Source organism: Homo sapiens, chromosome 2, assembly GCF_000001405.40.
Source record: "Homo sapiens chromosome 2, GRCh38.p14 Primary Assembly".
Taxonomy (NCBI): Eukaryota; Metazoa; Chordata; class Mammalia; order Primates; family Hominidae; genus Homo; species Homo sapiens.
In genome coordinates, this window is record NC_000002.12 from 60,935,403 (window position 1) to 60,950,758 (window position 15,356).

Consider the following 15,356-nt stretch of genomic DNA (forward strand, 5'->3'; position numbering starts at 1 on the left):
ACATGCATCACCACACCCAGCTAATTTTTTATTTTTTGTAGAGACAGGTTATCCCTATGTTGCCCAGGCTGGTCTCGAACTCCTGCACTTAAGCAATCCTCCCACCTAAACCTCCCAAAGTGCTGGGATTACAGATGTGAGCCACCGTGTCTGGCCGTAGTTCTTTAAATGTTCGATAGCATTCAGCAGTGAAGCCGTCTGGTTCTGGTCTTTTCTTTGATGAGGGAATTTTTTTTTTTTTTTTTTTTTGAGACTGAGTCTCGCTCTCTCACCAGGCTGGAGTGCAGTGGCGCGATCTCTGCTCACTGCAACCTCTGTCTTCTGGGTTCAAGTGATTCTCTTGCCTCAGCCTCCCAAGTAGCTGGGACTACAGGCACGTGCCACAATGCCCAGCTAATTTTTGTATTTTTAGTAGAGACGGGGTTTCAACATGTTGGACAGGATGGTTTTGATCTCTTGACCTCGTGATCTGCCTGCCTCGGCCTCCCAATGTGCTGGGATTACTGATGTGATCTCCTTTTTTTTTCAAGGCTTAACATGTAATTTAACAAGTTGATGCTGCATTGCTGCTCCATTTCTCAGAAAAACTTCAAATTTAAAGTATCAGCAACAAATCAAACATAGTACATCAATTAAATATGCACAGCATAACTACTATCTAAGATAGGCAAGGCTAAGAGCTACTCTCAGACCTTCAGCATACAGCAACTCTGTTTCCAAGATTGTACTAGGCCTATCAAGAAAAGTTGTGAACAGCAACATCATAGACACAAAACGGCCATTCCTGGTTGTCCTTATCCAAGAAAAAGATTGAGGCAAGTTAACACAAGATTTTTAAAAAAGATACACTGAAATGAAAGTCTCTAAGAGAAAATGTCTTCCTTAGGACAAGAAGGGATAATATATCGGATATAAAAGAACTATACGTACATTGTTTGTGACCTCTGTGGACATTTGCCTGAATTCTCACCTGGGAGTGAATGGAGCAGTGGGGCGAAGGTCATTGGAGGAGGTTGTGTTTTGTGGTGTATGTGGCAGTGTCTCTGGGGTTGGGGAGTGTATGGATAAGAAAGCAAATGAAACAGGATGGAGAAAAAAAGAACGATCAAGATTAATGGGTCTCTAACTGGATTCATTTCACTGTAGTTCCCCCAGGTCTTCAACAGTCACATTTGAGACCTCAGTAATGCACCACAGAGAACTCATCAGTTAAACAATATACCACACAGAACTGGTTTGTTAAATACCACTCCTCCCTTGCCCTCTTCCTCCAAAATACTCCCTACAGTAGTATAGGTAGGGTAGACCTAACTATTGGGAGGAATCTCTTAACATTTTTCTAGGGTAGAATTCTGGCTAGTCCAAAAAGGGCCCTTTTAAAGGTTTTGAGAAACTAGACACTGCAGCTTTATTAGTATCAGCAACGTGTGTTTGGAGTAAATTCAGCTCCAGGAGTTGCACAATTCAATGCAGGAGGAGTTCCGCCAATTGCCCCAATTCCTTCCGTTGCAGCAGCTTGGCCAAAGCATTCCGTTGTTGGTGGGGTCAATCTAGCATCATAGGTTCAGGTTCTGGAGGAGCTGGGCTGCCAGCTGGCACAGAAGCAGGGGGCATGGTGCCTCCGTTATGCCTATAGCACCTCCCACAGCCATCTGGCCCATCTGTATCTCCTGCTGTCTCATATCAGAGAAGGTTCCAGTGAATCTTTCCTGCCATTACCAGTGCATTGCTTCCTCCTAGTGCCTGCACTCCTCTCGCATGGGCTCCAGTTGCCGTCGTTTTTGCATCTCTTGGTTGTTCAGCTTTTCCATCCTCCACAGCTCTTCTTGACACCTCATCAAATCCTGCCTCATTAGCATGACCTGGCATTGATGAAGGCGAGCAACCTCCATCTCCATCTCCAGCTTCTCATGAGCCTCCTTGATATTGCAGTCCACTTCGTCCTGCTGCTGCTTCTCCATCTCAATGAGTACCCTCTAGTGCATGGCATACTTATATTCAAAAGCCATGCTGTGCACACTGGGGTGGCTGTTCTCACTCCTTGTGAAATTGCTGGTTCTTTACAACCAGCTTCTCTGGAAGTCCTTCTTTGTCACCTAATTAGCCTATGGGCTACACAGTAACAGGATGAGGAAACGTGGTTAACAGGAAGAAGCCCTCACTGCATCTGTCCTGAGCTTTCTGAGCAACTTGCTGTCCTGAGAACTCAACAATGCCTTTCCCTAAGGGCCTTCCTTGATCATCCACAATGACTACAGCCCTCTCCACCTGGCCAAAGAAAAGTCTTCTTCCAAAAGTTTGTTAGAAGGTTTCAGACTGTAAGGGATGCACTATGGCAGGCAGGGTGCGCACAGCTGCATACTGTCCAGACCCACTTTGGCAATCTCCACTAGGGTTCGTGCTTCCAAGTGCATAAAGCCAAAGCCTTCATCCTTATGAAGACCTCACCTGCCTTCCCATATTTCTTTTTTGTTGTCGTTTTTAATTTTTTCATTTTTCCTTTTTGTTAATTTATTTAAACTCTCTTTCTGTGAAATTGCCTTCCCATATTTCTCACAGTTTCCTCATTTCCTCCTCAGTGATGTCAGAAGGAACACTGCCCACAAAGAAATATTTGGCCTCGTTTGGTGAAGGGCTTCTTTCCTGGGCTGCAGTGTGGAGCCTGAGGAGAATGTCTGAGGGCAGCAGGGAGGGGACTGTGAATTGAGGCAGCAATAGATTGGTTATTTTTGAGGTTATTTTTTCTTTCTTTTGTGTGTGTGTGTGTGTGTGTGTGTGTGCCAAAGATTTACTTGTTCATTTCTTGCATTTGAAGTACTCTTCAATGACATCCTTGGCCTGAGACTCCTTGCCATAGTTCGTAACTACTATACAACTTCAACCAACCACTTTACACGGTTTCCCCTCTCTGTCAGTTTTACAGAGGCCTACCGATTCCCCTAGTTTCTGGTCATCAACCTTAATTAGGTTGATTTGGTGTTCAGCACAAAGGGCCTCCACCAACTTGACATACATAGGCTCATCACAGTTGGATGCAAGCACACACAGCACACAAAGATGGGCTTGGCACTTGTCTGAGGCTTTGGCAGCTTTGCAAATTTCATATGCTAGGCCATCATGGATGAGGGCGGTCTTCAGCACCTCCTGTAAAACAGTATTAATGTCCATTACACCTCCAGCAGCACTGCCTTCCTCGGCCATGGCAGTGGGTTACGAGTGAAGCCGGATCTTGAATGCACCCGAGACTCCGCCTCTATACAATTCAGTGGCAGCAGGGAAAGAGCAGGAGCCAGATTTCTTATAGTCAGAGAATTACAAATTTGGAAAGGGTGAAAACTAGAATAAGGTTGGAATTGGAAGTACTGGTATAAACTCCTACAGCTTTCGGTATGTGTAGATACAGAGATGTATAGGTGTGTGTGTATGAGTGGGGTGTGTGTGTGTGTGCATGCACATGCATTCATGTTTGTTCCCTAGCTCTGTTCCATGAGAGGGCTTGGGAACAGCAATGGCACCAAACAATGAGCATACCTACTGCCCAGATCTTGGTTTCTAAATACCATTTTCTGCTAAAAGAGACCAGATCTTAGAGAAAAAGCACCTTGCAGAGTTAGTGCAGAGGAAATACAAAGATGAGCATGGAATGTCTTTTTGTATTAGAAAGTAAGAACATGCTCCAAGAATGATGGGGACATACCAAAGGACACAGAAGCCAGCTTGAAGGGGTCGCCACTGGCCAAACGAACAAATTACAACTTCTCAAATAAAATAAGCCACAAGTCCACATGATATAAATCAATGAATAAATTGGAGAGAAGGGAAAGCTCTACCTTTTAGGGTAATGCCAACCAACAAATGTAAAAGGAATGATGGAATTAGAAAATCTGTATTTGGCAATCATTGTGGTACTGATTGATTCAGGTGAACATCTTCAATGGATGCTAAAACTAGTGAGTGAAAGTTGGATGATCTCTCTACAAGATACTTATTAACTACAAGGGGCAAAAAGAATAACCATAAAAGTGGAGAAGCCTCGTGATAATACCTAATCAATTGACCAAAGCCCCAGCCAGCAACTGGACAAATCAAAACTGTGTGACACCTGATAAGATGCAAGAAGACAATCTCTCTTTTGTGGTGTTCTTGCCAAAAAGGTACAATCTGAATCTAATAAAAAGGAAACATCAGGCAAACCCAAATTGAGGAACAGTCTACAAAATAACTGACCTGAAGTGTTCAAAAATGTTAAAGTAATTAAAGTCAAGAAAGACAAACTTCTTTTAAGAGTGGTGGAGACTAAAGAGACGTAACAAAATGCAATGTGAGCACTTGACTATGAAGGACACTGATGGGACAACTGGCAACTTGAACGGGGTCTGTGGGTTAGATGGTAATATACCAGTGTTAATTTCCTGGTTTTGATCACTGTGTTGTGGTTAAGTAAAAGAATGTCCTTGTTTGTAGAAATTACACACTGAAGCCTTTAAGATCATGAGACAGCACTGGCTCCATGGTTCAGGGAAAAAGGTTCTTTGTACTTTAACTTTTCCTGTAAGTTTGGAATTATTTCAAAATTTAAAAATTCAAAATAGAATCATAAAAGTAATATTTTTCATAATAAACAAGGGTAGCCTTTGTTAAAAAATCAGAAAAGCTGATATCAAAGTTCATTCTCTTATGTGGACTTAAAAATCAAAGAATAATTAGCTCCAAAAGAAAAGATTTGCCAAGTAAGATGTTTTTCTCTTACAAAATGGAAATTTAACTTCTAAATTTACTTCACATAACTTGCAAATGTAACCGGTTTTCTTACTTGGACATTTTTCATTTTACCAACTTTATTTTCTTTTGACTTTTCCAGGTATTCAGAGTTGATGTTTTTCCTAAAATAAACCACAGACTATATTTGGGACTATATAAGAGATACTAAGAAGTACAAAGGGCTCTTTCTCTTAAGTGTTATGAAAAAGACTTTGAATTTAAATAAAGCTTACAAAGAAATCATAAAACTAATTTTAAAATGCTTTTATGTAGGCAAAAGGGAAACTATAGTACTCTCACTACTTAATATTTCCAGTTCTGCCTAAAACAAAGACATACATTAATTTTTAACAATCTTTGTCTCAAAATTCTAGGAACATTTGGAAGAAGTATTTAAAGCTAATGCTTACTCTTTGCGTGAAATTTTATATAATCTCAGGAATAGAAATTTAAGAAATAGAAATCTTCTCATTTCAGTTTGCTAAGCACATTCTTCATTCTTACATATTACAGGTCCACTAGATTCAAAGGTAAGCCAAAAATACCATGCAAAAGACTGCCTCCTAAATTATTTAAATCTCTTTTGTAGCAAAATTTTCCCAGAAACTGAGGAACATCCACACAGAAATTCTTACCTTTTTATCAAAAGTTTGTTATCCTTTTCTCATTTTCTGGGCCTTTCAATGCATTGGCATTGACAAGAGTGAAAAAATTATTTGCTGTTATTTGCATATCAAACACATGGTTTCAACGTGGTATGAAACTATGTTGGTTCCAACGTGGCTGACTCCTTTGTGTCCATTAAAACCATTTTCCTCATATCTAAAGTGAATCTTGGTATCTGTGATTTATGTTTAATATAGAGATGGGAAATGGTTAGTAATCTAATACTAGTCAAGTCACATGTATTCTTAAAAAAAGCTCAAATAGTTGAATTAGGGTGATGGAAATTATACTCAAATCTGAAATTGTAATGAGGCTCCTTTCTGAAACTTAAATGACCCATTCATTTTTTTTAGGTTTAGCTTAATGTTTTTCCTCTTCATAATACCAACTGAGGTTTAACTTAATAACAAATGGTAACTATATAAGATTGTATTAAATAGTCTTGGGCTATTTTTTGGTAAGCTCTTTGATTTGGTAACTACATTCCAAAAGTTAATTATCAGTTACATGAGTTTAAATGGCATCCATAGCTGCCCCTTCACACAAACAGGTGCTCAGTAATAGGGCTTATTAGAAAGACCCTAGAAACCAAGAAACTTCAGTTCTAGTCCTCAATATAGAAGTAGCTAACAATTTTGGATAAGTCATTTAACTTCTAGTCTTTGGTTTCCATATTTATAAAATGGAGACAATATCCTATCTACTTTAATAAGGTATTATTAAAATGTTTATAATTGGATAATATATTGAAGCATTCTGAAATAATACCAGTTCGTCTTTGTTTAGCAATCTCAATTTTTCAAATTCTTAACCCTGGGATTGAAGTTATTAAAGGCACTTGTTTCTCCTTATTTAAAAGATTTATGAAAGGCTCCTACCATGGCATGCCTTGGCTCCTACGGTTTTACTTTCCCTCCACAGGAAACCTATATTGACAATTTTAGATTGTCAAAATTCTTTCTTAATGAAAGTATTAATGAGAATTATTTCATTATTCATAGTTTGGTTAAGATTTATGACAAATCACAGCCAAAAGAACTTCATTGGTAATAGCTTGTTTGAGGCTTCCTGGGGAAAATAATGATGTCAGATTTGCATTTGCAATCTTAGACTATTATAGGATATTATGCTGCATAAATCTAGATATAACTTTTATTCAGATAATTTACAAAAATTAGAACATGATTTTAAAGGTGGTATATCTCTTGTGGAGGGAAATCTTGCTGAAATTACAGCTTCTTAGGTTAACAGAGAATGTGTCCTGTTTGTGCACCTCTCTAAATGAAAGAATTAAGGAGAATTATTTCATTATTCATAGTTTGGTTTGTGGGGGTGAAAGAGGGAATGAGAAAAATCCTAAGACATCCTTGGAACAATTTAACACAAAATATACACATATATAGATCCTGAGATGTTACAACAAATTAACAATTATATAGATCAACATGATCCAAATAGTTTTCAAGACACCGTTATGGTGGGTAAACAGCCATTTTACGGCATGTGCTCCATGGATGTCCACATCATGCCAGGAAAACCATACTCTTTGTCTCCAAATTTGAAAGCTAGTCATCCAGAGCAGGTGGCCAGTCAACATCTACAGACTAGAAGGGAGAAAAGAAGTCATTAAAACAGATATTACTGTTGTGGTAAGCATTTGCTGGTAATGCTGTATAAATTTAATAGTTTTAATATAGTGCAACAGAAGAAACTGCATTTGAAGAAAAGAGCTATTGAATACCATAAATTAACCCTCAAGTCTGTTCTAGGTATTCTTGGGCCTGAGGTCTTCTGAATTAATTGAGTAGCAGTATTTGGCTACTCAGTTGGTTATTAACTGTGCTTTTTGACTGATAAGAGAATACATTTAAATTTTTTAAATGGTATTTATGGGGCCAGGTGTGGTGGCTCACACCTTTAATCCCAGCACTTTGGGAGGCCGATCAATTATATAGATCAACATGATCAAGGTGGGCAGACCACTCAAAGTCAAGAGTTCAAGACCAGCCTGGCCAACATGGCAAAACCCCGTCTCCACTAAAAATGCAAAATTTAGCCAAGCATGGTGGCACACGCCTGTAGTCCTAGCTACTCAGGAAGCTGAGGCAGGAGAACAGCTTGAGCCCAGGAGGCAGAGGTTGCAGTGAGCCGAAATCACGCCACAGCACTCCAGCCTGGGTGACAGAATGAGACCCTATCTATCTCAGAAAAAAAAAAAAAAAAAAAAGTATTTATGGGTAAAAGTAGCAAACAAATTCAAGTGACCACCAATTTTCCCTCAGAAGTCTCAGAAACTTTTATTCTTCTGATCATTTTTATTCTCTCATCTTGCATTTAACAAATATTCAAGTAGTCTATAAGCCTATAGTCTTGTTGTAACACAGCAACAAAATGTGAAATAAATGATTATGAAAGATGACCTGGAACCAGAAAAGGATTAAGGATCTTTGTGCTTCAGTTCTGTAGAATTTCTGTTTCTTTAAAATCCAGTTCATCTATCTCTACTTACCTTTATTTTGTTCTTCTAGGACAAAACCTTGATCTTTGAGTCAGAATGAAATTACAGTAAACAGACTATTTGTCTCCACATAAACACATACCAGGTCTATCAAAGGCTAGGGGATCTACTTTAAGAGAAAGTTAAAAAAAAAAAAAAACCCACCGTATCTATCTGTGGCTTTTATTGACATTTAAAGTTTAAAACATAAAATTATTTACTGAAAATTTTTTCATTAATCCATGAGTCACTTCACGTACTGGCTTCAAAAAAAATTTATTAGAAAAGCCTAAATAGCTATGTGTGTGTGTGTCTTTTACAAATCTCAAGAAGATATTTTTGTTCTGTTTCAGAATATAGCCATATACCAAACACCCAAATGTAAATTAATGAGTGTTTTCTCAAGCTGAAAATAAAACATGACTGATCACAATCTTGTGTGTGTGTGTGTGTGTGTGTGTGTGTGTGGAGGGGAGGCAAGTTGTAGTGCTTAAAAAGCTCCACAAGTGATTCCAGTGGGCAGTCAGTGTTGAGAAACACTGGCCTGTGAGTCTTTGACACTCCTAACTGTTCTGAGAATTAAAGTAAAAAAAGATTAATGCAAGCCTGGGCAACACGGTGAGACCCCATCTCAACAACAACAACAACAAAAAAACGCCAGGCATAGTGGCTCATGCCTGTGGTCCCAGCTACTCGGGAGACTGAGGCAGGGGATCGCTTGAGCCCGAGAGGTCAGGGTTGCAGTGACCCGTGATCGCACCACTGCACTCCAGCCTGGGTGACAGTGCAAGACCCTGTCTCAAAAAAAAAAAAAGATGATGAGTAGAGATTTTCTTTAACAGAAGGTTTTCTTCCTCCAAATGATAGTTTCACTGAAGAGGCTCCCTGCAACCTTGAGGGCACGATCACTGGCTGTACTGCAGGAGCTAATCTAATCCCAGAGCACTTGAGAGAATTGCTGGTAAGGAAGTAATACTCCAGTGATCATTTGATTACCATAGATGTTTTCACATTGGGCAACTATGCCCACTTCTTTCTATAACTTTGATATTATTCCCAAGTACAAATCCCCAAGTCCTAAGATTCTGGGGAGAGGAGCGGGGGAGGTACTCTATTCCTAGTCAGATTTTCATGAAGAAACACCACTCGTGACTCAACACCTATTGATACTCAAATGAAATATTTATGGAGACTTGCCCGACAGAACCATTCTTACAATTACTTTAGAATTTAACCTTGTTTCAATTCAGACTGTAAGAGCAGAGAACTTGGACCACATCACAGGGGTCCTTATAGAACTGCTTTTATGAAGAACCATTGGCTCACCTCACTTTCTACCCTTGTGAATCCATGTTTCTGAATATGCTGCTTTAAAGTCTTTATAAAACGCAACAGGTATGGAAATGACTATTTCCGTGCTTGGTTTAAGGGTTTAGATTTGATACTACATGTAAAGCACAGTTAATAAATTAGCTATATATTTTCAAGGAACATAAATGAGACCTCATATTAAAAAAAAAAATCCGAAGACAGTCCCTCCCTTCAATACAATGTTACTGTGAGATTTTCACCATTCTCAAATACCTATGGAGGTGGGTGATACTAAAATGGCTTAATGCCAAAGAGCATAACTTTGGTTGAATTCAATTTGCCAATGTGCATTCCACAACAAAATGGTTTACCTCAACATCCAGCTCCAGAATGTCTGCAGTCACATTCATCAGGGACCCAATGTTTGGCTTGGTTCTCCCGAAGTCTCCATGTACAAACTCTTTAATGTAGCTGGGGTTTGTTTAAGGAAAAAATGAAGACAGCATGCTGTACCAACTATTTGGTAAGATTTGACAGGCAAAAATAATAATAAGAGCAGAAATGTTACAAAAGAAAGGTTACTTCTGAGCTCTGACTTGTGTGTCTTAAAAAATAAGCTTTGGCAATGTGGTCCCTAGTAGCCTGGCAGCCAACATCAGAGCCTGGGAAATGTGTTTACATCAAACTTACCAAAAATCATTACTTTCTTTTTTCTTTATAGCTCATCTCCAAGTGCCAAGGTTTGGATGTGGATTTTAAAAATTAACCATAGCTCAATGCTTTTATTAAAAAACAACTTTGCCACAATTTCTATGTTATTATCTTGTTAGTCCCATTTTTTTAATAATGGCAACTGTCACCTGCCAGATGGTAGGTTTCCACAGAGCCACACAGAGAGTGATCTCAATGATGGCATTCCTTGTAACATGACCCAGAGGCAATAGGGTGGAAGGAATAATGAGACTATTAGTTTAGTCTTAATGATGGCTCTTCGGAAGGATTACCAAAGACCTACCGTCTAGTTTGCTAACATGGTTAGCAAAAGAACTAAGTTAATTCTCTCTCTCTTTCTTAAAGGGGCAACTTTGTATTTCTCTCAAAATTGTATTTCAAATTTTGAAATCAATAACTAATTCTAGAATTTGTTTTTAAGATTAACATTCCTTACATAGGACTGTACTGCAGCTTTGACAATATTTATCTAAAAGATTTGTTTTTGCCAGAATTTGGTAAAAATGCAGCATTATGTTTTGTTCTACAAACCAGCATTTAGTAGAAAATAATTAATGGAACTTGAATAGAGAAATAAATTTGTTTCCAGATGATGAAAAATCTATATTATAATATGCTGATATTATGTCCTCACTTTCTGAACGTTTTACTCACTCTACCTTTGCCAAATGTTTTGACTAAAGCATAAGACATATAATTATCTAGTAACTGTGTTTTTTGGTAAACTCACAACTACCCAACAATTATTATCCATTTTCTCTCATTTTCTTTAAAGAATCCCCTTCTGCGTAGCAATGATGAGGAGAGAAAACCAAATAGCCCCAGAATAACCAGTTAAAATGTCCAGAGAGGTTCTTATTCCTAACCAGAGGGACAAGGTTTAAGTCAAATGAGCTAGCTCAGTGCAGTGATCAATGTAAATATATAAGGTATATATAAAGTAAATTTAGTAAGTGAAAAATTAATATACTTCTGTGTATAACCATGTGGCATCTAAAGCTTTAACACATAGTCTTTCTTGGCTAATACCTTAAGTACATGTACATGGCTTGTCCTAAAAATGTTTTAATAGGATTGAAAAGACATCAAATTCTACAAAAGACATTTCTCCTTGGCCCACCAGAACTAAAGGCCAGGATTAGGTAAGAAGACTTTTAAAAATATATACATGATTTGAAATTCCATCCATGATAGGCAAATATGCTCCAAACAACAAAGATACAAAGATCTGTCCACTGGAGTCTAAATTGATCATCCTTTGATCCAAATTACAAAATTTAGAAGATTTTAAGAGTAGATAACCTATACTTGGCTTAGCTGAGTAAATCCAGGTCCTGGGGTGGGGCAGGGGAAGAAGTGAATGCAGGCTGGTGGGGAAGGACAGGCAGACTAGTTACAGCAATATAGTAAGAATGGTATTTGGTGATTAAAACTTGCTTTTTTCCCATATATATATATCTAGTGTGTGTGTGTAATATATATATATAGACACACACACACACACATACAATAGTACATTAGTTCTATACCAGTTAGAAGGTATTTTGTCACTTCATGCTATTGGATCACAGAATAATATAAAACCAAGAAACAAACAAAAACTAGGAAGACCTTCAAAAAGTAAACTAAAGCTAAGCCTATTGGAGCTCCCTGATATATTTTAATCAGCGACTCAGTTCTGATACAAAAATCATACAAGTCAGGTTAGATTACGAACAAATTATCAGCCTTGGACTATAGATATTTTAACTCTGAATCTCAACCTTTCTGTAACACAGTCAAAGCTCTTTGCAGTCTGAAAATGGTGCTAACTAACTAATGATATGTCATCTGAATCGTTTTGTTTTTGTTTTTTTTTCACAAGGCACGTAGACAAAGATATTCTCTGTTGTACTAGGCCAGTGGCCAAGTAAAGATCCTGATGTAAAGTAGTGCTATTCCCATCTACTACCTGTGTTTAATCATCTGAGGCAAATACTTGAAATGTTGAAAAGACCCAAATATGGTCATAAATACGTGACTTGCAAAAAATGTCAAGACAGCAAATGAATCCATCTTTCTGAGTACTATGTGCTCAGCATTGTGTAAGACACTACAATTATAGGAAACATAACTTTAAAGCTGACATTGAACTGACTGCTACCTCAGGGTTTAGAATCATTTTGAAAAACAAATTTAGGCCAGGCGCGGTGGCTCACGCCTGTAATCACAGCACTTCGGAAGGCCGAGGTGGGCGGATCACGAGGTCAGGAGATAGAGACCATCCTGGCTAACACGGTGAAACCCCGTCTTTACTAAAAATACAAAAAATTAGTCAGGCGTGGTGGCAGGCGCCTGTAGTCCCAGCTACTCGGGAGGCTGAGGCAGGAGAATGGCATGAACCCAGGAGGCGGAGCTTGCAGTAAGCCGAGATGGCGCCACCGCACTCCAGCCTGGGCGACAGAGCGAGACTCTGCCTCAAAAAAAAAAAAAAAAAAAAAAGAAAAGAAAAGAAAAAGAAAATTAAGTGGGAAAAAACCACATCCAACAAAGAAACAAACAAAAATATTCTTCTTCAGTATAATCCTTTCCCGAATCCCTCCCAGACCAAGCTGACCCTGTTTTCTAGGGGACCATGAACTTTTCCAATAGAGTTCTGGTTCGATGGCGGCAGTGCAGCAGGTGGAAGGATACGTGCCAGCCTGAGTTTTCAAGTGGAGGCGGAAGTGGTGCTCATCCACGTACTGTGTCTCCATGAAGTGAATGACGCGAGCTCGCACAGCCAGGGGCCTTCGGTGAAGGACGCGCAAAGGTGTTTTCTGGTCGATTTTTAAGTCCTAGGGGAGAATATGACACACAGTCCCAGAGTCAGAGCTTTGCCACCCAGTGAATCCTGTCTTAGCCCTTCCCTCACCATCCATAGCTCACCACAGATGCTTCCTTGAGAGAACTAAAATGAATTGTGTCCCCTTAGGTTCAAACTCTGTGGGACTTCTCATAACCCAGTCTATCATTACTCATTTCACACCGCCATGCCCGGCTGATTTTTGTATTTTTTTGATAGAGATGCGGTTTCACCATATCTGCCAGGCTAATCTCCAACTCCTGACCTCAGGTGATCTGCCCTCCTCAGCCTCCAAAGTGCTGGGATTACAGGTGTGCTCCACTGCGCCCCGTCGAGTTTGCGTGTTTTAGGGAGAACCACATACCTACTGTCAGGGGTGGGTTGTTTTGGTTTTTTTTTGGTGAAGGAAAAGGGTTATACAAAAGGATATGTCTGGAAAAGTTATGAATACATCTTGTTTAGGGTGACATTTCAATATAATAATTACAAATCGATGTGCATAATAAACCGGGACCTTTCAATGTTTGTTAGCCCAGCTTGCAACTAATAATACCGCATGTCTTTTTACATTTCAGATTTTTTAGGGACACAGGCTTGTTTTTCTCACAATTCGTTAGAGATTTTCTTTTATGTCACAAGATAAAAATTAAGAAATAGAGGTTAACGCTGTAAAAGGTCAACTAATTCCAAGTTTTAAAAATTGGGCGTAATCAGAAATTCAGATTCATAAGAACTGAATCCTCTTCATTTTCTTGTCGGAACAACTCTTCCTAATTTCCATGGTTCTTGAGTGCCGGAAGGCCTGCTAAGAAAGAAAGGTTTCTGTCTGGTCTCTCCTCTATCAAGTTCTCCACCAAGAAGAAAAGAGCAAGTTCTGACAAAGACCGCATTTGAAAGGGTGTGACTGCTTTTACCAAAGTGGTGAGTCAATGGCTCCTCCTAACTCTGTGGTTTTTATGATTCTTTGATTTTATTATAGAAACACTTTGTCCTGATGAGATAAGCTGTCTCCATAAGATCTGATTTTTCTCTGGTCAAAGAGACAAAAAAAAAATACATAAATAAAGGATAAGGCTGAACTGTGAAGAAATCTATAAAGACATGGCTTCCACTTTAGAGAAACAGCAGGCCTTTAAATTAACAACTATCTATGGAGTCCTCTCCCCTGCTTCCTTTACCTTTAGAGTTATTCCCAGTACTTTGACCATGAGACAGTTGGTCAATGGAAATACCACGAGCCACATGTCTTTTTTGGTTTGTTTGTTTTTAGTTGACAAAAGGAAACCACTTCATTTATTCTAACATTGCACTCCGCTGCTCCCATACTGCTGAGCTTTCAGAAGCACACAAACACACACATACGCTTGTTTTTGTTTTTTTTTTTAGAAATAAGATGCTCCTGAAGAGGGGATAAGTAGTAAATTTGAAATGACTTTTTCTCAGAATGGGGAATTTAGTCAGTTTTTATAATTTTTATGCCAACTGGAAAACTAAAAACATTATTTGAAATCAACTAGTTGCATCAGTCTACTTAGGCTATGGACCATTAAAAAAGACCCTTTCACCACTTAGTCTGTACCTATGAAAATCATCTTTCAGCCCAGGCTGGAGTGCAATGGCGCCATGATGGCTCACTGTGGCCTCGACCTCCTGGGCTCAAGCAATCCTCCTGCCTTGGCTTCCCAAAGTGTTGGGATTACAGACGTGAGCCACTGCCCCTGGCCTCAGCATTGTTTCTGAATTATCTCTATGGCTACCCTCAAACTATGAACCTATTTTTTTAATGAGTTTATTTTTCCCATGGCATTCTCAATGACTTGTACGACCCATGTGAAAGGCATAAAGAAATTTAAAAATTCATTTTGCAATCTTAAAGATATCTGTCTATATTATAACTACCATCCAAAGAACCTTACATAGTATGGCCAAAAGCCAAAGGGTCTTAGCTATAGAATCACAGATCTAAGAACTGGAGAGGCCATTGGAGATGATCTAGTCCATCTCCTCATTTTATAAATGACTTTCTTTAAGCAGGTGAATGATTTGTGTGTTTTTACCAAAATATTCACACTATAAACATTATTCTGCACTTTGCTTTTTTTCTCATGTCATAAGTGCTCCTATGAGTCATAGATATAGACATACGTCTATCTTTTTTCCCAGCATTTTTAGGCACATATGTACATACTAACATGTAAATTAAATAGGGTCATATGCTGGGTTTTGTTTTTGCTTTTGTTTTGAGACAGAGTCTCACTCTGTCCCCCAGGCTGGAGTGCTGTGGCGCGATCTCAGCTCACTGCAACCTCTGACCTCTGGGTTCAAGCTATTCTCATGCCTCATCTTCCCAAGTAGCTGGGACTACAGGCATGCGCCACCACACCTGGCTAATTTTTTGTATTTTCAGTAGATACGGGGTTTCACCATGTAGGCCAGGCTGGTCTCAAACTCCTGGCCTCAAGTGATCCAACCACCTCAGCCTCCTGAAGTGCTGGGATTACAGGTGTAAGCCACCATGCCCGGCCTGATTTTGTTTTTTTTAATAGCTGTATAATATCCCAGTTT

The 15,356-nt window shown here is 39.0% G+C and overlaps 1 protein-coding gene and 2 pseudogenes across 22 annotated transcripts in view; all 3 read right to left on the reverse strand.

Moving 5' to 3' along the window:
* Positions 528 to 2,647, reverse strand: NONOP2 (non-POU domain containing, octamer-binding pseudogene 2; annotated as a pseudogene).
* Positions 2,775 to 3,283, reverse strand: RPS12P3 (ribosomal protein S12 pseudogene 3; annotated as a pseudogene).
* Positions 4,821 to 15,356, reverse strand: part of PUS10 (pseudouridine synthase 10) — a 78,037-nt gene continuing 67,501 nt past the window's right edge. For 19 of the 22 annotated variants that reach the window (XM_011532574.4, XM_017003428.3, NM_144709.4 and 16 more), the window contains 3 exons: positions 12,641 to 12,783; positions 9,607 to 9,706; positions 4,821 to 7,031 (listed from right to left, as the gene is read on the reverse strand). In XM_011532574.4, the coding sequence (XP_011530876.1) occupies positions 6,993 to 7,031; positions 9,607 to 9,706; positions 12,641 to 12,783 (282 nt within the window). In that variant the 3' untranslated portion in view covers positions 4,821 to 6,992. The remainder of the gene's footprint in view (positions 7,032 to 9,606; positions 9,707 to 12,640; positions 12,784 to 15,356) is intronic. The other 3 variants (NM_001322127.1, NM_001322123.1, NM_001322124.1) reach the window with 1 other exon arrangement.